The sequence below is a fragment of the Homo sapiens genome, chromosome 4 (genome assembly GCF_000001405.40).
Source record: "Homo sapiens chromosome 4, GRCh38.p14 Primary Assembly".
Taxonomy (NCBI): Eukaryota; Metazoa; Chordata; class Mammalia; order Primates; family Hominidae; genus Homo; species Homo sapiens.
In genome coordinates, this window is record NC_000004.12 from 39,406,051 (window position 1) to 39,429,577 (window position 23,527).

At 39.8% G+C, this 23,527-nt stretch overlaps 1 protein-coding gene and 1 non-coding gene across 2 annotated transcripts in view; both read left to right on the plus strand.

The window, feature by feature from the left end:
* The first annotated feature begins 879 nt into the window (after positions 1 to 879).
* Positions 880 to 23,527, plus strand: part of KLB (klotho beta) — a 44,604-nt gene continuing 21,956 nt past the window's right edge. The window contains exon 1 of the mRNA NM_175737.4: positions 880 to 1,724. Coding sequence (NP_783864.1) covers positions 900 to 1,724 — 825 coding nt within the window. The 5' untranslated portion in view covers positions 880 to 899. The remainder of the gene's footprint in view (positions 1,725 to 23,527) is intronic.
* MIR5591 (microRNA 5591) lies at positions 5,860 to 5,924 on the plus strand. The gene has a single exon (NR_049857.1). It is a non-coding gene; the product is annotated as a microRNA 5591 (primary transcript).

Sequence of the window (23,527 nt, forward strand, 5' to 3'; positions counted from 1 at the left end):
CCACCTCTACCAAAAAATCAAAAATCAGCTGGGCATGGTGGCATGTGCCTGTTGTCCCAGCTACTTGGAGGCTGAGGAGGGAGGATTGCTTAAGCCTGGGAAGTTGAGGCTGCGGTGAGCTGTGATGACACCACTGCACTCCAGCCTAGGCTACAAAGCAAGACTCTTATTAAAAATTAATTAATTAATTAAAAAATTAGAGATTAGAGAATTTTAGTTAAGTTAAATAAATAAAATAAAAAATAAAATTAGAGATTAGAGGATTTTAGTTAAGTTAAATGTATTAAATTGAAAAGTATTTCATTTTTCCATCCACAAAGTGCTATATTTTCTCATTCAAGTCTTCTCTCAAATCTACCAATACATTTTTGCAATTTTCCTAAAATAGGTAACATTTATTAAGATTGTTCTTAGATGCGTTATAATTTTGTGGAGAAGTGTAATTTCTTATTGTGTTTTCTAATTCTTTACTATTGGTATGTAGGAATGCTATATACTTGTATATGTTATTTTTCTTGATATATGAGATTATAAAATTACCACACAAAAACTCTAAAAATAGAAAAGCTATATACCTTATTCAATAATGTTCAAAACATTCAGAAAAGATTTGGGTCAATATGAAAGGCTACACGGAAAATAATGTGATTTTAATCCAGTGTTTACATATGTGTTAGTTACACATTCAAACTCTTGTCACCGATGCATTTTCATCTAATTTTTTCCATAATGAGAGAGAAGGAGACGCGTTGGTGACTGCAATAGGGCCACCTCCCTCAAATTACGTTGCTCTCTATGACCCATCCTCAGTCTCCCAGTTCAAGCTAATCATTGACAGAGCTTTACAATCACAAGCTTTTACTGAAGCTTTGATAAGACAGTCCAGCAGTTGGTGGCAAATGAAGCCAGGCTGTGCGGCAGGATCTCCAGGGAATGAATGGATTTTCTTCAGCACTGATGAAATAACCACACGCTATAGGAATACAATGTCCAACGGGGGATTGCAAAGATCTGTCATCCTGTCAGCACTTATTCTGCTACGAGCTGTTACTGGATTCTCTGGAGATGGAAGAGCTATATGGTCTAAAAATCCTAATTTTACTCCGGTAAATGAAAGTCAGCTGTTTCTCTATGACACTTTCCCTAAAAACTTTTTCTGGGGTATTGGGACTGGAGCATTGCAAGTGGAAGGGAGTTGGAAGAAGGATGGAAAAGGACCTTCTATATGGGATCATTTCATCCACACACACCTTAAAAATGTCAGCAGCACGAATGGTTCCAGTGACAGTTATATTTTTCTGGAAAAAGACTTATCAGCCCTGGATTTTATAGGAGTTTCTTTTTATCAATTTTCAATTTCCTGGCCAAGGCTTTTCCCCGATGGAATAGTAACAGTTGCCAACGCAAAAGGTCTGCAGTACTACAGTACTCTTCTGGACGCTCTAGTGCTTAGAAACATTGAACCTATAGTTACTTTATACCACTGGGATTTGCCTTTGGCACTACAAGAAAAATATGGGGGGTGGAAAAATGATACCATAATAGATATCTTCAATGACTATGCCACATACTGTTTCCAGATGTTTGGGGACCGTGTCAAATATTGGATTACAATTCACAACCCATATCTAGTGGCTTGGCATGGGTATGGGACAGGTATGCATGCCCCTGGAGAGAAGGGAAATTTAGCAGCTGTCTACACTGTGGGACACAACTTGATCAAGGTACTGTACAGCTAGCTTCTTCTTATAGCTTCAGAAAACACTAAGAATTTAAGAATTTACCTTCTGCCTCAGTAATTCTCTTCACTGAAATCAAGGCAACTGATTTTAAGCTAATTCAAAAGATCTATCCTCAAATTTTGCATTTAAGTTAGTGTATGTTTTATTTATCTAAGGTATTTTTAATGTATTAATCCAATTAGTTTTTTCAAAAGTTGCACTTTGAGGCTATTTTTAAATCTACCATTATACACTACAGTGTGAATATATGAGCTTACTTTCATTCTGTGGGAAAACAGTGCTTCATAAATTTAATTGTTGGAACCCTTTTCTGACAACATGCAATCATTTCAGAATTATCTTAAGGCACAACCATTTCAAATATGTATTTGTTGTTAAGTATAGCTAACTTAGCTAATAAGTAAATAAAGTAAGTAAATAAGTAAGCCAAATAAATGTTAGCTAACTCATGCATATTAAATACAGAAATTTAAATATACTTCACTTTTGATTTTATTTGTGTTACATAGCAAAAAAGAGAAGATTAATTGTTATGGGAGCTAAACACATTTCTTCCCATAAGAACTGGGAAGAATGTGCTCTACTAAAGCAATTTTCAAGCAATATATTTCAAAAGCTAGAGATAATGTTGAGAAATGTTAAAATTAGTAAAACAATAGTGAAAATACAAGCAAAATAATAGGTAATAATTACTGAGTACTTATTATGTACCACAGACTACATTAAGTATTTTACATGCATCGTTACAGTTGATCCTCTTAACAGCCTTTTGAACTAGTTTTATTATTCTTCCCATTTAAAAGATGAGGAAACTGAAGCTTAATGAGATTAAATAATTTTCCCAAGGTTAAGGAGTAAAATACAGCTGTTGTGGACATGGATTTTTTAAATGACAACATAATTAACACTAACTGTCTTCATTAAGAATGCTTTGAAAAGAAGACTCAGGAATTTGCAAGAGATTTAGCCTCACATTGAGGCTAATATCTAGAATCGAATTTAACTTTTTGAGTCAAATAGTTTACTTAGGAAAAATAAATTATTCTGCACACCTGTTACATTTTAAAAATGAAAAAACTTTATCAATATAATTTTATAATGTGCTACAAAAAGTAATTTAATTATTAATAATCAAAAGCTAAATATACAGAAGTAGAAAAAAAATACAGCAACATAAAATAATTCCATGTCTAAATTTGTACATACAAAAATATCTGCTATCACTTCTTTTCTTTTTGAACTTTTCTGGATTATTACACATGTGCATTGTACTATGGTTTCAGATACATCTGCCCTTGAGGTAAACAGATTGCATTATGATTTCAAGGTCATTTGCATATCTTTGACTAGAGTTGTATATAGAACATATTAATGTGTGGGTATACTGTGATTTGACAAAATAAGACCTTAAAGGGTAGAAATTGTATAGGTATTTAACAGTTATCAAGATTATGCATACAAAAGTTAGAAAAATATTCCTCTCATTTAGTCCTTTTAATTTTCTTTTTTTTTTTTTTTGAGACAAAGTCTCACTCTGTCACCCAGGCTGGAGTGCAATGGCGCAGTCTTGGCTCACTGCAATCTCCACCTCCCAGGTTCAAGCAATTCTCCTGCCTCAGCCTCTTGAGTAACTGGTACTACAGGCACATGCCACCAGCCCAGTTAATTTTTGTGTTTTTAGTAGAGAGGGGTTTCACTATGTTGGCCAGGCTGGTCTCCAACTCCTGACCTCATGATCCACCTGCCTCAGCCTCCCAAAGTGCTGGGATTACAGGTGTGAGCCACTGCGCTCAGCCAGTCCTTTTAATTTTTAAAACAATTCATGCTCATGTACATTTAAAAATATCAGATTGGGCCGGGCACAGTGCCTCATGCCTGTAATCCCAGCACTTTGGGAGGCCAAGGCAGGTGGATCACAAGATCAGGAGTTTGAGACCAGCCTCGCCAACATAGTGAAACCCTCTCTACTGAAAACACAAAAATTAACTGGGCGTCGTGGCACGTGCCTATAGTCCCAGTTACTCGGGAGGCTGAGGCAGGAGAATCCCTTGAACCCGGGAGGCAGAGGTTACAGTGAGCCGAGATCACGCCACTGCACTCCAGCCTGGGCGAGAGTGAAACTCTGTCTCAAAAAAATAATAAATAAAAAATAAAAATATCACATTGTACCAAAGGATCTAAAGTGAAAAAGTTAAATCCCTCTCCCTCTCTTCACCTGACAATCCCAGGCCAAGGACGCTACTGTTAATAGTTTCTTATACATTCTTTTTAAAGTTTTCTATGCAAATACATGCATGAATATGTTTATTTAACCTTTGTATAAAGAAAAATATTCTAAATTGTTGAAAAGTCATTACCTGGAAAAATGTCAACAATTAGAGTTTTCATGAAAATGTATTTTAAGGATTAAAGCCTTAAAATTGGCTGATAAGAATAAACAGGCAAAAAGCTTTAACAGATATTGCTTCCAAACATAGTTGATAAAATGACATATTTTCAGATGTTTTCATTTTCCTCTAATTTGAGATATTCTCTGCCTTTAACACAAAATTAGCACTTTATGATCGTGAGATAAATTTTATTATTTTAAATGGAGGGATATGTTTTTCAACTATTGTGTTTTCCAAATAATGTTTGTATTGCCTTAAAAGTTCTAAATCACTAGACTAAATAAATGGTGTGAGGGGTCCTTGAAATCAGTCAGAAAGTGAAATACACTGCATGACCCAGTGACGTATAGCACTAAAGAAATCTTGCAATGATTTGGTAGCCTGAGGTGAACTTGTTTTTCCCACTTGTCCCCTCGCTGTCTTGACTTTCACGTAGAAAACATTAATTTGATATTTTACGTTGCAATGAAGTATTTCTTCCTTCTCCTGCCCCCTTGTGACCCAGAAGAAGCATTCTTTAGGAATAGTTTTTAGACCGAAAACATTTATTGAGCTACACAAGCCTAATATAAAACTGAATTCTGGGGGGGTATGGACCCCTTCATTCCCCACTTCTCAGATAGAGAAAAGGTTTCATAGTGGCTATTGGGGTCCTTTTCGTTCCAGAATGATCTGGAAAACTCCATCTCGGTTTGAAATGTTCCCATTTGGAGGAAACCTGAATGGTCCAGAGGGTCCCAAGGCTGACTTGCAATTTAGATTCCACTTTATTGCAGATGTAGGGAGTACCTTAATGCGGGTCTAAGACTCAGGTAAAAATTTTCCATAATCACACCTACTAATGGATGAACCAACTCTAAGTTTTTGTTTTTGTTTTGTTTTGTTTTGAGACGGAGTTTTCGTTCTTGTTGCCCAGCCTGGAGTGCAGTGGCACAATCTTGGCTCACTGCAACCTCCGCCTCCCGGGTTCAAGCGGGAGCCTCAGCCTCCCGAGTCGCTGGGATTACAGGCAAGTGCCACCACGCCTGGGTAATTTTTTGTACTTTTAGTAGAGACGGGGTTTCTCCATGTTGGTCAGGCTGGTCTGGAACTCCCGACCCACAGCGCCCGGCCTCAAAACTAAGGTTTTTTTTGTTTTGTTTTGTTTTGTTTTGATTTTTTTTTTTTTTTTTTTTGAGACGGAGTCTTGCTCTGTCGCCCAGGCTGGAGTGCAGTGGCGCTATCTCGGCTCACTGCAAGCTCCGCCTCCCAGGTTCACGCCATTCTCCTGCCTCAGTCTCCCGTCAAAGCTGTTTTTAACAGCATTTGAAATAGAATGAGGATGTATTTTTTGGCTTGGCCATTTTTTTTTTTTTAAGACAGAGTCTCACTCTGTCACCCAGGCTGGCGTGCAGTGGCTCGATCTCAGCTCACTGCAACCTCCGCCTCCCGGATTCAAGCGATTCTCCCGCCTCAGCCTCCCGAGTAGCTGGGATTACAGGTGTGAGCCACTGCTCCTGGCCCTGGCTTGGCCATTTTTAAGCACGGTAATCATCACTTTAAATATCATCTCTAGGCCTGGCATGGTGGCTCATACCTGTAATCCCAGAGCCTATGAGTTTGAGACCAACCTGGGCAACATAGCAAGACCCCCTTCTCTATTTAAAGAAAAAAGAAATAATATCTATGTATTCTAAGTGAAGTAACTCAGGAATGGAAAACCAAATGCCATATGTTCTCTCATATAGTGGGAGCTAAGCTATGGGTATACTGAGCTTATGTATGCATCTGCATACCCATAGCTTAGCTCCCACTATATAAGAATGATACAATGGACTATATATACAGAATGATATATACCTACATACAGAAGGATATAATCAACTTTGGAGACTCAGAACAGGGAAGCTGGGAGAGGAGTAAGGGATAAAAAAACTGCATATTGGATACAATGTATACTCCTCTGGTGATGAGTACACTAAAATCTCAGACTTCACCGTTATACAATTCATCCGTGTAACCAAAAACCACTTGTACCCCAAAACTATTGAAATTTTAAAAATATTTTTAAAAAGAGAAATATTATGAACATTTACATTCCAAAAGGACATAAATAAATAAATATTATCTATACTCTTTACAACAATCTTGCCAGGTAACTATTATCCTCATCTTACAGTGTGATATTTTGAATATGCGTGATATTGCTCCCCTGTGTAAAATCCATTAGTGGCCCCCCCAAGCTTTGGGGATAAAGTCTCAATTTTTCACCAAGACCTTTGAGATACAGTTCCCAGCCTCCTTCCTGGCCACTCTCCCATCCTCTTGCACTTCATATTCGATCATAACACACTACTGCCAGTGTCTCAGTCTCTCCTTACTATTTCTCTCCACCCAGCCTCAACTATCCCACTCTGTCTAGCTCAAATGCCCTCTTTACTTCGTGATGGTCACTGCCTCCAAGTCATTCTTGCCCCTTTAGGATTTAAGTGCCCCTTCTGCTGGCTCCCATAAGATGGGCTTGTTTCTAGCATAGCACTCATACGACATGATACTTTTCCATCTCCCCAGCTAGACTGAGAGTTCTTTCAAAGGAGAGACAATTTTTAAATTTGCCTTTATGTTCTCAGCACCTAGCACAGAATATTTGTACATATTAGGTGTAAATGTTGGTTAAATGAATGGTTTAGGATTTCTGTCTTAAATACTGTAATCAAAAACTAATCTCAAGTTCAATCTTCATATTTCATTGCATTATTGCAAACTGTCGAAATATTACTGATATTAATCGGGTGGTATATTAGTCAGGACTTTTTTGGTGGCAAGTTACAGAAATCTAATTCAAATTGGCTAAAGCAAAAAGGGGCAATTTCCTGGCTCAGTAACCAGACCACAGGGATGAATGGGCTCAGTGACCAGGAAGGCCCTTTATTTCAGCCTCTCACGTCCATTTCTTCCTCGGGTTGTGTCATCTTCTCCTTTGTAGAGGAAAGATTTCTCTCTCCCAAGTTTAGTTTTTTCAATCCCAGAAATGTATTTGGCCTATGCAGCAAAGCCCCAAGGGTTCACATTAGTAAAGGCAGTAATGTCTGTTTTCATTCTATTTTTAAATCAATAAATACATGTAATAATTTAAATTTGTACATTTCCCTTTTAGAATGGAACATTTGAGAGTCTCTGAGTAAACATGCACAGAGGTTTGGGAAGGTGAATTTGCTCATGAGACAATAACTCATTCTGTTTATTACTCCACTAAATATTGCCAAAGCGGGGCAGAGTTGCTCCTGCCTGTAATCCTAGCACTTTGGGAAACCGAGGGAAGAAGATCCCTTGAGCCCAGGAGTTCAAGACTAACCTGAGCAACATAGTTTTGTAGAGACAAGACAAACCTTGTCTCTACAAAAAATAAAAAATCAGCTGAGAGTGGTGGCACATACCTGTAGTCCCAGCTACTTGGGAGGATGAGGTGGGAAGATCACTTAAGCCCGGGAGGTCAAGGCTGCAAGGAGCTATGATTGTGCCACTGCACTCCAGCCTGGGTGACACAGCAAAAACCTGTCTCAGGAAAAAAAAAAAATAAATAAAATAAAATAAAATAAAACAAAAAATACTGCCAGCTTTCATGACAGTTTTGACCATTTCATGACTTTAAAAATCTTTGTCTTTTACTAGTCACATTGGGTTAGGGGGAAAATGTTATCTTTCATAGATAAATACTGTTTACATAGTACAAAGATTTCTCAAACCTGGTCACTATTGACATTTGGGGTCAGATAATTCTTTGCTGTGGTAGGCTGTCCTGTGCAATGGAGGAGTTCAGCAGCATCTAAACTCTACTCACTAGATGACAGTAGCTCCCCCATTTTCAGTGTTGTGACAATCAAAAATGTCTCCAGACCTTGCCAAATGTCCCCAGGAAGTCAAAATTCCTCCCCCTCACTCCACCTTTGAAAACCACTGACTTATTCTATAGTAGACAACTGGTTAAAGACATGAAGCACAAAGAACAAGGACATTGACATGTAACCAGTATGAGGGGCATAAAAATGATTATTTTACACAATTGCCTCAAGGAGATCTTCACCAGATCTGTAAGTTGCATACAGAAACTCAAAATTAATGTACAGCCTATACTGTTTTTAGAAAAAAAAAAAAAACAGTGCTTTTAAAATGTTAAAAGAGGAAATAATATTTAATCATCAACATGATTACATCTAGTTTGGCTTTTCACATATCGAGAATAAAGACTGTCCCTCCTGGCTTTGCCTTATTTGTGAAATACTTGAAAGAGCTGCCCCAAACCATTTTTCTTATATTAAGCATTAGTTATTTCTTAACCATTAATATTTTCTTATATTAACCATTCATGAACAAAACACTAATCTTACTTTTTAAAAAAGCTTTTCCTTTTTTAAAAAGCAAAATTCGGCCAGGTGTGGTGGCTCACACCTGTAATCCCAACACTTTGAGAGGCCAAGGTGGGCACATCACGAGGTCAGGAGTTCGAGACCAGCCTGGCCAACATGGTGAAACCCCATCTCTACTAAAAATACAAAAATTAGCCAGGCGCGATGGTGGGTGCCTGTAATCCCAGCTACTCGGGAGGCTGAGGCAGGAGAATTGCTTGAACCCGGGAGGCGGAGGTTGCAGTGAGCCAAGATCATGCCACTGCACTCTAGCCTGGGTAACAGAGCAAGACTCTGTCTCAGGAAAAAAAAAAAAAAAAAAAGCAAAATTCAACTATTCAAACAAAATGTTATATAAGCAACGTTTATCCATTTTTGATGCTATAACATTGTGTTTCACAAAGTTTGGTGGGGGTTGGGTTTTTTGGTTTGTTTTTTGAGAAGGAGTGATTCTCCTGCCTCAGCCTCCCAAGTAGCTGGGATTACAGGAATGTGCCACCACTCACGGCTAATTTTTGTATTTTTAGTAGAGACGGGGTTTCACCATGTTGGCCAGGCTGGTCTCGAACTCTGGGCCTTGGGTGATAGACCCGCCTCGGCCTCTCAAAGTGTTGAGATTACAGGCGTGAGCCACTGCGCCTGTCCAAAGTTTGGTTTTTTATGTGTCACTTTATGTTCTATTTTTCTGGTTTTCTGTTTGTATACATATCTATACATATCTAAGTATCATTATGTACTATTGTTTACTAAAATATTTTTCTGTTAGAAATATATTTTGAGGCCAGGTGAAGTGGCTCATGCCTGTATTCTCAACACTTTGGGAGGTCGACACAGGAGGGTTGCTTGAGCTCAGGAGTTCGAGGCTGCAGTGAGCTGTGATCATGCCTCTGCACTCCAGCTTGGGTGATAGAGGGAGACTGCATCTCTAAAAAAATAAAAAATAAATAAAATTTCAAAAATATTTAAGTCATAAAATGCTTGTCCTTATTACATAATGAAAATAATTTAAATAATGTGCATTATTTATTAGATGGTAAAATGCCCAAATTTATGTGCATGTGTTATTAGCATTTAAAATATTTATTCTATTAATGTTTTAAATTTAAATAGGCCTTAAAATACAATAGTCAATAAAGTATATTTACATAAAATAAAGCATATGTCAACGCTTTTTATATTTTTTTATTACCACACACAAATGATGAAATAATTTTTTAAATTCCTCATGGGTTCAAGAGATTGCTTAACACTGTGAAAGTGGCTTTCAGGATAAGATATGTTGGGAAACCCTACTCTAGGTCAAGGCCTCACCAACTTTTTCCTGAGCCTAGGATAAAACTGGATTTCTTTCCTATTTTTCCACTTCTTTGACTAACTTTGTTTTAACATTTCCTGGCATAATTCCTTCACAGAAGCTCACACATGCTGGACACGTGTTAGGCATTCAATGAGTAATTGATTATTTTCAATTTAAGGAAGATCTACCTTGTTCCAGAAAGGATTTAAACCTGCAACAACAACAAAAAAAAAGTAGATTGCAGACACACACACACACACACACACACACACACAGGCTAAACATTAGTCTTTCCAGAACACTCAAATCAATTAGATATGTCTCTTTAAAATATTGTACATTAAAAACCCATCTTGAAACAAGCTGCAGAATTTTGATGGCTGTTAAAACTCAGTGATGTGTTTATGAGGGTTTATTATTGTTTCTATTTTTGTGTATTATGACAATTTCCATAATTAAAAGTAAAAAAATAAGTAGCATAAGAAGGTAAAGAGAATATTTTACATTTAAAAATAAAAGACTTTTTCCAACAAGAAACTAAAAAAAACTTTTTTTAAATCTTCATATAGTTCTCTTCTTAAAGGCTCTGTTAAAATTATTAAACAAAATTTAGTATTTAAACTGCAAAAACAAGGGTCAAGTGCAGTGACTCATGCCGGTAATCCCAACACTTTGGGAGGCTGAGGCAGGAGGATTGCTTGACTCCAGGAGTTCAAGATCAGCCTAAGCAACGTAGTGAGACTTCGGTCTCTACAAAAAATGAAAATAAAAATGAGCTAGGCATGGTGGCATGAGCCTGTAGTTACCGCTACTGGGGAGGCTGAGGTGAGAGAATTGCTTGAGCTCAAGAATTCAAGTTTAAAGCTATGATGGCACCACTGGACTCCAGCCTGGGTGACAGGGTGAGACCCTGTCTCAAAAAGTAAATAATAAAACTGCAAAAACAGCCGTGAAAATGCCACCATTCCCATGATTAATAGCTAAGCCTTCTTTGCCAACGGACTGCTGCAACTGCTTTCTTGAACATGAAGAAGGCTGCAGTGTTTCTTAGGCACATTTAAGTAAACAAAATGTCATTTTAAAGACTCTTTTGCCCAAATCCCCCACCAATGTCTTGAAGATTAAGTGTAATATTTTGAAATGGAAATACTAGATGGAGCCTTTTTAGTTTGTCTTGGTTATATAGAAGCAAAATCTCCAAGGATTATCTGAAATTATTTTCTTTAATTGAAAAAAAGGATTTTTTTAAAACTCCCTTGGTAAAGTCAGGTTTCAGGAGAATAACGTATCATAATTAATTTGTGCTAAGTCTTATAGCTAAAAAATTAGCCAAGCTTTTTTTTTTGACAAAGGACGAAAGAAAGAGGGTTAAAACAAACAACAAAACCTATTACTTTCTTCCTTCCACCACTTTCCCCTCCCACATCAAAAAAGTGGTTTTTTGTTTGTTTGTTTGTTTGTTTGTTTGAGACGGAGTTTCGCTCTTGTTGCTCAGGCTGGAGTGTAATGGCGTGATCTCAGCTCACCGTAACCTCAGCCTTCCAGGTTCAAGCAATTCTCCTGTCTCAGCCTCTGAGTAGCTGGGATTACAGGCATACACCGCCACGCCTGGCTAATTTTGTATTTTTGGCAGAGACAGAGTTACTCCATGTTGGTCAGACTGGTCTTGAACTCCTAACCTCGGCCTCCCAAAATGCTGGGATTACAGGCATGAGCCATTGCACCCAGCCCAAAATGCTTTTTTAAAAAAAAGAAGAAAGAATAAAGAACAGTCTTAATTCTTAAAGTGAAGGACTGAGACAATTATTACAGATAACTTTTTGACATTCTATCATATTCTTTTAAATTACTATTGTAAGAACTTTTATTGCATACATACTGTAATATCAGAAACATACTAGGTACCTGTAATATATTATCTCATTTAATTCACTCATCAGCTTTGCCAGGTAGGTGTTCTGAAACTCAACTTACAATTGATGAAACTGAGGCCCAGAGAAATTTGCCCAAGATTACATAGAGGATAAGTATCAAAGCCAAAATTAAAGTCTGATCTGTGTCAATCCAAGCTAGCAAGTTCTGATGACATAAATCAGCTGCCCCGCTTCAATGAAAAAAAATTTACAGCTTCAAAACCCATGTCCATCACTTGTTTTGATACTGTCTCAGCAGATATTTTACTTTGCTTTGCTTATTAAAAGGCCAGAACAATCTCTCTACATGTTTAATTTGTCCATGAGATCTATGAACCATTTATCCCCTGACTCATATATTAAAAGTTGGGTTTTTCATTTGTCCTCATGATTTTAATTATTTGCTCAAAATTTAGCATCCCATTAAAGTGATGTTAAATCACTGAAGTGTGCCCTTGACAATATCTTTTTTATTTTTTTTGAAGAGTCTCGCTCTGTCACCTAGGCTGGAGTAGTGCAGTGGTGCAATCTCGGCTCACTGCAACCTCCACCTCCTGGTTCAAGCGATTCTCCTGCCTCAGCCTCCCAAGTAGCTAAGACTACAGGCGTGAGCCACCGTGCCAGCTGATTTTTGTACTTTTAGTAGAGATGGGGTTTCGCCATGTTGGCCAGGCTGGTCTTGAACTCCTGACCTCAAATGATCCATCCACCTCAGCCTCCCAAAGTGCTGGGATTACAGATGTGAGCACTGTGCCCGGCCATATCATCTAGAGTTAGCACAGTTCTTCATTTGATTAGCTAAGGCATGGTACCTGCATATAATGCCAACCCATCTCCATCACGATCTAAGACACCTCTAACAAAATACAGTATAAGAAATACTGATCAGGCCGGGCACAGTGACTCACCTCTGTAATCCCAGCACTTTGGGAGACTGAGGCAGGTGGATCACTTGAGGTCAGGAGTTCAAGATTAGACTGGCCTACATGGTGAAATCCCGTCTCTACTAAAAATACAAAACTTAGCTGGGTGTGGTGGTGCAAGCCTGAAATTCCAGCTACTTGTGAGGCTGAGGCAGGAGAATCGCTTGAACCCAGGAGGCAGAGGTTGCAGTCAACTGAGATCGCACCGCTGCACTCCAGCTTGGATGTCAAAGATGCCATCTCTAAAAAAAAAAAAAAAAAGAAAAAAGAAATACTGACCAAATACATTAAAACTATTATTATTATAGATGTTTTAAACTAAGTTTGAATAAATTATGAAAACTGCTTGTGGAGAATTGCCAAAGAGAATTTCTATAACCAGAATACCACTGTTAGTTATAAGAATCGTGTAAAAAAAAAACTTTTTCAACTACGACTGGTATTCTAAAACCTTCAAGAGAGCAATATTTACTTTTTCTAACCATTAAGTAGAAAAAGTTATACTTCAGTAAATGATTAACAAGAGTTTAAATAAACGTAATTATAAATGCTCAGAGAATAATATTGCGATCCTATTTAAACAGCTTGATTTGATATGAGCACTCTCATACATGGAAAATCAGACCCAAATGGAGATCAGAAAATATTTTAAGTAATGGAAACAGTGCTGGACATGATGAAACTATGAACTGAGGGAAACTTTACATGACTTTATAATATAAAATAAGTCATGTAATAACATATAGAAAGTTTTACTGAGCAAACTCAACATTCGAAAACAGCCTATTTTTGGCCGAGCACGGTGGCTCACGCCTGTAATCCCAGCACTTTGGGAGGCTGAGGTGGGTGGATCATCTGAGGTCAGGAGTTCAACACCAGCCTGGCCAACATAGTGAAACCTGTCTCTACTGAAAATACAAGAAAAATAAGCTGGGTATGGTGGCGTGTGCCTGTAATCCCAGCTACTCGGGAGGCTGAGGCTGGAGAATTGTCTGAGCCCAGAAGGCGGAGGTTGCAGTGAGCCAAGATCGCACCACTGCACTCCAGTCTGGGCGACAGAGCAATTCCATCTCAAAAAAAAAAAAAAAAAAAAATTAGCTGGGCGTAGTGGTGGGTGCCTATAGTCCCAGCTGCTTAGGGGGCTAAAGCAGGAGAATCGCTTGAACCTGGGAGGCGGAGGTTGCAGTGAGCCAAGATCGTGCCACTGCACTCCAGTCTGGGCAACAAGAACAAAACTTCATCTCAAAAAAAAAAAAAAAAAAAGGCTATTTTAAAAAGAAAAAGATATGATTAAAACTACTGAACATTAACAACAATTCTGTTGCTGAAAAGTAGTAGGGAAGCTGAGAATAGACCAGAACCTTCTAATTTACTGGCCAGTGAAGAGTGAATCACAGAAGTAATTAAAGTAATCCTTGGGTGATCTAGTAGTGTTACTTGAAAATGTTTCTGGGTAACCCTGAGGTTGGTGAAAGCCAGGATCTTTTAGTATTTGGGGGAGTTCATTGCTTGGTTCTGCTTAATGTCATATCTTGACCAGAGATTACATGACCAAAGTCTTGAGTAAAGGGCCAGGGTCTACTGTTATGAGTTTTTCTTTCATGTTAATCATGTATAATACATGACTCCTCCTTACATTGTTTTGAACATCAACGTATTATTATAGAGGACAAAATATTCCTTAATATAGAATGAAATTCAGAGTAGCTGAACTTTACATTTAAGTCTGCTTTTTCCTTTGAGATTTTTGGAAGTCGGGGGAAGCTGAAGAGTGATAGCATAGAACAATCAAAGTCACCAACAGGAACAGTTTCAACCAATACCCTTGACTTCTTTTTTTTTGAGATAGGGTCTTACTCTGTTGTCCAGGCTGGAGTGTAGTGGCATGATCATGGCTCACTGCAGCCTCAACTTCCTGGGCTCAAGTGATCCTCCTGCCTCAGCCTCCCGAGTAGCTGGGACTACAGGTGCACCTGGCTAACATTTTTAGTTTTTGTAGAAACAAGGTCTGACTCTTGTTGCCCAGGCTGGTCTTGAACTCCTGGGTTCAAATGATCCTCCCACTTCAGCCTTCTAAAGTGCCGAGATTACAGGCATGAACCACCATGCCCAACCCAACTTTTTTAAACTACAAAAATAATGCATTTGTATTGCAAAACATTCAAACAACACAGAAACACATTGTTAAAAATAAAGGTTCTCTTCTTTCCTTACTCCCTAACCACACACCACGGGAAGTAACCACTGCCAGCAATTTGTTCAATGTTCAAATTTTTTTCTATGTATATATGTACACATAACATATACATACATATAGTGATTTTTGAATCGTATTATTACATTTAGTTTCAGTTATTATTTCTCAATAATCAAAATGTAAAAGCATACTGTTTTTATTTCACTCATTTCCATATTTTTTTCTCCTGTTAGACACCATAGATCATCTAAAGGCAGGGGCTACCTTGTTTTTCTAAATGTCTATTACAGTGCCTTGTATTTGTTAAATAAATGTTTGTAGACTTGAATTTAAATAAATAAAGTAAATGGATGAAGAGTGACAAAAGGGATAAAATAATAGCTGGAGGTTGAAGGAAACTCAGACAAATAAAAGTGACTTATCTAAACATGTTTTTGTTGATGTATATAACTTTGTGTAATGAACAGGATGAAACGTAAGGTAATGCTGATGAATTCTCCATTTGATTGGGTTCTGAGGGGCACCCCAGGTGGTGAAGTGGGATGCAGGCATAATCAAAACTATGACTCCGACCAGGCACAGTGGCTCATGTCTGTAATCCCAACACTTTAGGAGGCCAAGGTGGGCGGATCACTTGAGGTCGGGAGTTCAAGACCAGCCTGGCCAACACGGCAAGACCCCGTCTCTACTAAAAATACAAAAAATAATTTAGCTGGGCATAGTAGCCCGTGCTTATAACTCCAGCTACTCGAGAGACTGACGCAGGAGAATTGCTTGAATCTGGGAGGTAGAGGTTGCTGTGAGCAGAGATCCTGCCATTGCACTCCAGCCTGGGCAACAGAGCAACACTCCGTCAAAAAAAAAAAAAAGACAAGGTCTCACTCTGTCACCCAGACTGGAGCTCAGTGGTGCGATCAGCTCACCCTAACCTCCGCCTCCCAGGCTCAAGCAATTCTCCTGCCTCAGCCTCCCAAGTAGCTGGGATAACAGGCATGTGCCACCACTGCCCTGCTAATTTTTGTATTTTTAGTAGAGGCAGGGTTTCACCATGTTGGCCAGGCTGATCTCGAACTCCTGACCTCAAATGATCCACCCCCTTCGGCCTCCCAAAGTGTTGGAATTACAGGCATGAGCCACCACGCCCGGCCGCCTCTGAGTGTTTCTTAGAGGCTTTCTCAGTCTACTGTCCCTTGGTTTTGTGTCATGTCTGTTGCATACCCCTTGCATTTTCACAGCCTGTTCAATCACCTTCGGGTCTACGGTGTAAAAGTGTATTTCAAAGGCACATAATTTAATTTGCACGATATCCTGGAATGACAGTGAACTAGGAAGGTGAAGGACTTAGTTCTATTTCTAGCTTTACCACTAACTGATATCTTGGGCAGGTCATTTATGTGGGAGAGAGGGAGGTTCAGCTTCTTCATCTATAATAGAAACTTTTAAAAATTGAACAAAATGACCTCTGAGGTCCACACTCTACCTCTAACTGGCAGGCAAGAGCACATAGGGCGATATAGCCTGGGCCTGATTCACCTTGTGCAAGTTACCTAACCTCTCCACCCCCTGGTTTCCTCTCCTCTAAGTGGGAATGATCACAGTACCTACCTCGCAGAATTTCAGTGAGGATTAGGTGAGAGAGTATACACACAACACCTGGAACAGTGTCCGGCACATTTGGTACTAGATATGTGTTAGCTCTTATTAATATTTATATTATTCAATTTCTATGGCTCTTATTTCCATTACTGTTCTGTTACATTCAGTTATGAAAATCACTCATCTCTAAGACCCTTTTAATTATTACTTGATTGAATGCCATGCTGTTCTAAATGCTATGCAGACAAGGATCTCTGTCCTTTCAGTCTAACTTTTTTTTTTTTTTGAGACAGAGTCTTGCTCTGTCACCCACACTGGAGTGCAGTGGTGTTATCTTGGTTCACTGCAGCCTCCACCTCCTGGGTTCAAGTGATTCTCCTGCCTCAGCCTCCCGAGTAGAGTAGCTGGGACTACAGGCGCATGCCACAATGCCTGGCTAATTTTTGTATTCTTAGTAGAGACAGGGTTTCACCATGTTGGCCAGGCTGGTCTCAAACTCCTGACCTCAAGTGATCCACCCATCTCAGCCTTCCAAAGTGCTGGGATTACAGGCGTGAGCCACCGCTCCCGGCCTCAGTCTAACATTGACAATGGTGTAAAGATCACCATTCACAGGGGAAGACAATCCAGCACAGGGGTGGTCCCTGAGGGATTCACTTAGCTTTTGACATCAGTGAGGAAAATAATCCAACGCTAACGTTACTGGTTTTAGGAGAGAGGTGAATCGAGAATTACATATAAATGTTACACATAGAAGCGCTGTGCTAGGCACTTGGACAACTAATGGTTTTCTGAACACCCCAAATTTGCTGACAGGTCCTCCATGACCTCTCTAGATGATACTGAATTCCAAAGGTATATAGATATTTTTCTCTCAACATGCAATTGTGGAATGTAGTACCCTCATTCGAGGACTATTTAGCTCTTTTAATAACCAAGTACAGCAGAGAGAAAATGTAATTTTAAAACAATATGTCAAATGGTCTTTCCCGAATAGCTTCAAAATTTAGAACTGGCAGGACATACAGAAAGCAGGATGGTGTAATAAAGTGGGTTCAAATCCCAGCTCTGCAACTGTAAACTTCAATTTCTTTTCTAAAATGGGAAAAATAAGACTTGTCTTGCAGAAGCTGTATTATCAATAAGGTACGTCAAGTAACCAACAAACTAGCTGATCCATAATAGGCATTCATTCAACAAATATTCTAGGCCAGGCCCTCCCCTGGGCATCTGTGTGGACAACTGTGAACACAATAAATATAGTCAGTCTCTGCCCTCAAGAAGCTAATAGACCTGGTGTGGAGCCACACTGCACGAGCCTGAGACTTTTACAATAGTGGGGAAGGATCTTTTTTTTAAAATAAAAAAAATTTTAAAGGGAGACAAAAATCAGTACAAAAGTAAATATCTGGCCAGGTACAGTAGCTCAGGCACTTTGGGAGGCCAAGGCAGGAGGATTGCTTGAGTTTGAGACCAGCCTGGGCAACATAGTGAGACCCTGTCTCTGCAAAAATAAATAAATGAGCATTTATTTAGAATGAGAAAAACATCACAATAAATTATGATAGTTATTTTTTGTTTTTGTTTTTGTTTTTGAGACAGGTCTCATTCTGTCACCCAAGCTGGAGTGCAGTGGCACAATCACGGCTCATTGCAGCCTCAACCTCCGTGGGCTCAGGTGATCCTCCCACCTCAGCCTCCTGAGTAGCTGGGATTACAGGTGCACACCACCATACCCAGCTAATTTTTGTATTTTTTGTAGAGACGAGGTTTTGCCATGTTGGCCAGGCCGGTCTCGAACTCCTGGGCTCAAGTGATCCACCAGCCTTGGCTTCCCAAAGTGCTGGGATTACAGACATGAGCTACCACGCCTAGCACAATAAATTACTATAGCCTTAGAGTCCTTTTTTTCTAAAGTCTCTTTAGGGAATTTGCAAGAACTGCTCACCTAGAAATGCTTCCAATTGCAACTAGGCTCCCTGACCCACCCAGGGCATTTCTAGGGACGTAGGTAAGCAAGGCGACCTGAAGCTAAAGCTTCATTAGGCTCACAGTAAATCTGGCTTTGCTGCAGGCTCTACACGTGATGGCCCTTGTTTTTATTATTATAATAATTTGTAATCTCCATGGTGGTTTCTTTTTCTTTTTCTTTTTTTGAGATGGAGCTTCGCACTGTTGCCCAGGCTGGAGTGCAGTGGCGCTATCTCGGCTCACTGCAACCTTTGCATCCCGGGTTCAAGCGATTCTGTTTCAGCCTCCCTGGTAGCTGGGACTACAGGCATGTGCCACCACGCCTGGCTAATTTTTGTATTTTTAATAGAGATGGGGTTTCACCATGTTGGCCAGGCTGTTCTCGAATTCCTGACCTCAAGTGATCCACCCGCCTCGGCCTCCCAAAGTGCTGGGATTACAGGTGAGAGCTACTGTGCCAGGCCTCCATGGTGGTTTATATGTTGACTATCTGTATTCCCAAATCCTGAGGAAAGGCTTCAAGTCACCAACCCAGACCATTTTAGCTTCAGTTATACCATGAGATATAGTCCTTTTGCATGAAAAAATTACTATCAGGATCACTAACAAAAAGCCTTAAATATCATTACACCCTCTACAAAGATGGCATGCAAATGCTCTCCTCCGGCAAAGAGAACTTCACTAAAGCACTAATTTACTAATGCTGATTTCTTCCAATTTCTAATAGAGGGAAACTAGATGCTTCATTTAATCAAATTATGAACTTTATTCTAGACTTTTTTCCTTTTGTGTTGCCAGGTATAGATTCTGGCTCAGCCACTAGTCTAATTTAGTAATATTATCATTGAAATCAGAATTCTTTAACAGGACATTTGTTTTAAAGGAACAAATATGCTAGAGTTTAGTTTTTACATTCCTTCAGGAAAATTCTGAGACAATACAAACTGAGAATAATCAATAATTTGTTAGAATAATTTTTTTTTAAGACAAGGCCTTGCTCTGTCACCCGGGCTGGAGTGCAGTGGTGTGAACACAGCTCAAACACAGCTCACTACAGCCTTGACCTGCTGGACTCAAGTGATCCTCCCACCTCAGCCTCTTGAGTAGCTGGGACTACAGGCACATGCCACCATGCCCAGCTAATTTTTGTATTTTTTGTAGAGATAGAGTTTTGCCATGTTGCCCAGGCTGGTCTTAAAACTCCTGGGCTCAAGCAATCCATCCTCCTTGGCCTCCCAAAGTGCCAGGATTATAGGCATGAGCCACCACATCTGGCCAGAAAATTTGAAAATATAATGATTGAAAAAGAATAGGGAGAAATTCATTAAAATGTAATACTGAGTTATTTCAACTATAGAAAACATGAATTTGGGCCAGGCGCAGTGGCTCATGCCTGTAATGTCAGCACTTTGGGAGGCTGAGGCGGGCGGATTACTTGAGGTCAGGAGCTTGAGACCAGCCTGGCCAACATGGTGAAACCCCGTCTCTACTAAAAACACAAAAACTAGGCCGGGCGCTTGGCTCACACCTGTAATCCCAGCACTTTGGGAGGCCGAGGCGGGCGGATCACTATGTCAGGAGATTGAGACCATCCTGGCTAACATGGTGAAACACCATCTCTAATAAAAATACAGAAAATCAGCCAGGCGTGGTGTCGGGCACCTGTAGTCCCAGCTACTCAGGAGGCTGAGGCAGGAGAATGGCGTGAACCTGGGAGGTGGATGTTGCAGTGAGCCGAGATTGTGACACTGGTCTCCAGCCTAGGCGACAGAGCGAGACTCCATCTCAAAAAAAAAAAAAATTAGCCAGGTGTGGTGGTGCATGCTTATAGTCCCAGCTACTCAGGAGGCTGAGGCAGAAGAATGGCTTGAACCAGGGAGAAGAAGGTTGCAATGAACTGAGATCGCGCCACTACACTCCAGCTGGGTGACAGAGCAAGACTCCTATCTAAAAAAAAAAAAAAAAAAAAAAAAAGGGCCATGAAATTTGGACCATTAAAAATAGGATGGTGAATATTTTCTTTATGAAAGGCTGTAACTTTTGTTAATATTTAAATTCTTTCCTAAGAAAAGCAAAGGTAAAATAATGATTGCAAAAGAGTTTCAAGATTGCCAAAAACTTTTTAAAAAAATAGTCACATAATATAATTAAAGAAATAATTGTCACATAATTTTATAATTTTTTAGCAATGAACAGTAAAGGTCACATACCTTAAGCATCCAATAATTTTTTTTTTTTTAAGAGACGGGGTCTTGCTCTGTTGCCTGGGCTGGAGTGCAGTGGCATGATCATAGCTCATTGCAGCCTTGACCTCCTGTGCTCAAGCAATCCTTCCATCTAATCCTCCTGAGTAGCTGGGACTACAGGCATGCCACCATGCCTGGCTCATTTTCTTAATTTTTAGTAGAGAAAGAGAGTCTCACTATATTGCCCAGTCTGGTCTTGAACTCCTGGCCTCAAGTGATCCTCCCACCTCAGCCTCCCAAAGTGCTGAGAGTACAGATGTGAGCCACAGCATCCAATAAATATTTGTAGACTGCAGCATGGATGAATGAATGAATGTTAAACAATCTGGAAGAGCAGCATTTGGTAATTAACATAAAAGTTGATAGTAGGCTGGCACAGAGACAGAGACTTAGGCTGGCGGATTGCTTGAGGCCAGGAGTTCGATACCAGCCTGAGCAACATAGTGAGAGGTTGTCTTTACAAAACAAACAAATTAAAAAATCAGCTTGAGGCCGGACGCGGTGGTTCATGCCTGTAATCCCAGCACTTTGGGAGGCCAAGGCAGGCAGATTGCTTGAGGTCAGGAGTTCAAGACCAGCCTGGCCAACAGGGTGAAACCCTGTCTCTACTAAAAATACAAAAATTAGCTGGGCGTGGTGGCAGGTACCTGTAGTCCCAGCTACTCAGGAGGCTGAGGCAGAAGAATCACTTTAACCCAGGAGGCAGAGGCTGCAGTGAGCCAAGACCGAGCCACTGCACTCCAGCCTGGGTGACAGAGGGAGACTCTGTCTCAAAAAAAAAAAAAAAAAAATCAACTTGATACCAAAATAGAGAAGGGCTAAGCAGATGAAAAGATGAATCAAATTGAAATTAATCCCAAAAGGACAACGAGTAAAACTCAGGAAGCTGCAAACAATAAATGAGGGCAAACATGTTCAGCCACGAGCCTTGGCAAGTAAAGGCTTGGGAGCTATTTGCAGAACACTCTTCACGTCCACACAGTCTCCATTACGATTTTCTAGACCAAGTTAAATTATTTTCAGCTTGCTCTTTCAAAGTACTTCAAATTTACGTTTGTGTCATTTTCACAGGGTCTTCACAGATATTATTGCCTCATTTGACGTTCACGAAAATTCTCTAGGGTGTTTATTTTTAGCTCAGTAGAATGAAGGGAAAAACAGGTCTTTGACAGTGAAATGATCTGTCCAAGATCGTAAAGCTGATGAGTCAGCAGAGCTAATACAAGAGCCCAGGTCTCCTGCTTTCAAGACCAATGTTATTTCCCGTATAGTACCAGGTAGATGAGTAGCACCTTTATATCATTCTCAAATGCCATTTATCCCCTAATAGAGCTGTCAATGTTTTATATCCCATGGTCACAGAACACTCACACCAGTGGACAAAATGTATGGAAAGCGATTTGGGAATATTTAAAACAATTTTAGAAATAGGTAGTCCAGGCCGGGTGGCTCACGCCTGTAACCCCAGCATTTTGAGAGGCCAAGGCAGGCGGATCACCTGAGGTCAGGAGTTCAAGACCAGCTTGGCCAACATGGTGAAACCCCGTCTCTACTAAAAATACAAAAAATTAGCTGGGTGTGGTGATGGGTGCCTGTAATCCCAGTTACTCAGGAGGCTGAGGCAGAAGAATCGCTTCAACCCAGGAGGTGGAGGTTGCAGTGAGCTGAGATCACACCATTGCACTCCAGCCTAGGCAACAAGAGTGAAACTACGTCTCAAAAAAAAAAAAAAGAATGAAAGAAAAGAAATAGGTAGTCCATTCCTGGCATTAATGAAAGGCAATGATTCAAATAAATTAAAGGTTATATGCCCAAAGTTAGCTATTGAAACATTTATGACAGGAAAAGAGAAAGAACAAAAGAACGAAGAAAAATAAATTTTTATCAAAAGACAGAGATAGCTAAGTAAATCATTATTATACTAAGATATTCTGAAAACCAAAAACAGCGTGGAAGATGTTTAAAGTGATTTTATTTCTTAAATTTTTATTTATTTATTAGTTTAATTATTTCAAGATGGAGTTTTGCTCTTGTTGCCCAGGCTGAAGCGCAGTGGCGTGATCTCGGCTCACTGCAACCTCTGCCTCCCAGGGTTCAAGCCATTCTCCTGCCTCAGCCTCCCGAGTAGCTGGGACTACAGGTGCCCGCCACCATGACCGGCTAATTTTTGTATTTTTAGTAGAGACAGGGTCCCACCATGTTGGCCAGGCTGGTCTCAAACTCCTGATCTCAGGTGATCCCACCCACCTCCACCTCCCAAAGTGCTGGGATTACAGGCATGAGCCATGGCACCCGGTCTTAAAGTGATTTTAGCTGGGAAATATGTTTGGAAAGCCTGGGTGGGAACACAGAAATATAAACCTATTTTGTTATGCTTGTGGAGTTTTTAAATAAACTTTCTTTAACCATTGTTATTTAATAGTCTATTAAATAGCTTAAACAACAGACACTTTTATAGTACACATGAACATATTTCAGCCAAAATGTGACCAAACTCATGCACAGATTTGGAAATGGAACTTTTGACAAATGACTGAGGGTTCCTTGAATACACTGGTGTGATGTGTTTGGCTTGCTCATCTGTCTTCAACCCATCTTTCCAACAGTGTCCTGTCATGTCTTCCTCTGGCTCCTAATCCCTTCTTCATCTATTTCTAAAGTTGTGCCTACTATCTTATTTGTTTCCTATCATCCACAGAATTTATCTGAGTCTGGACTTCCAGGGGCATCAAAAAATGCTGCCACATTAAACTGGAGGAGAGAACAGAATGAGATATTAGGTCCTGGTTGTCTCTCAATGACATTAGGGCCTGATAGCTGGCTCCAAAAGAAAAAGAAGCTGACTTTCCCTTTAAGCTACTGAATCT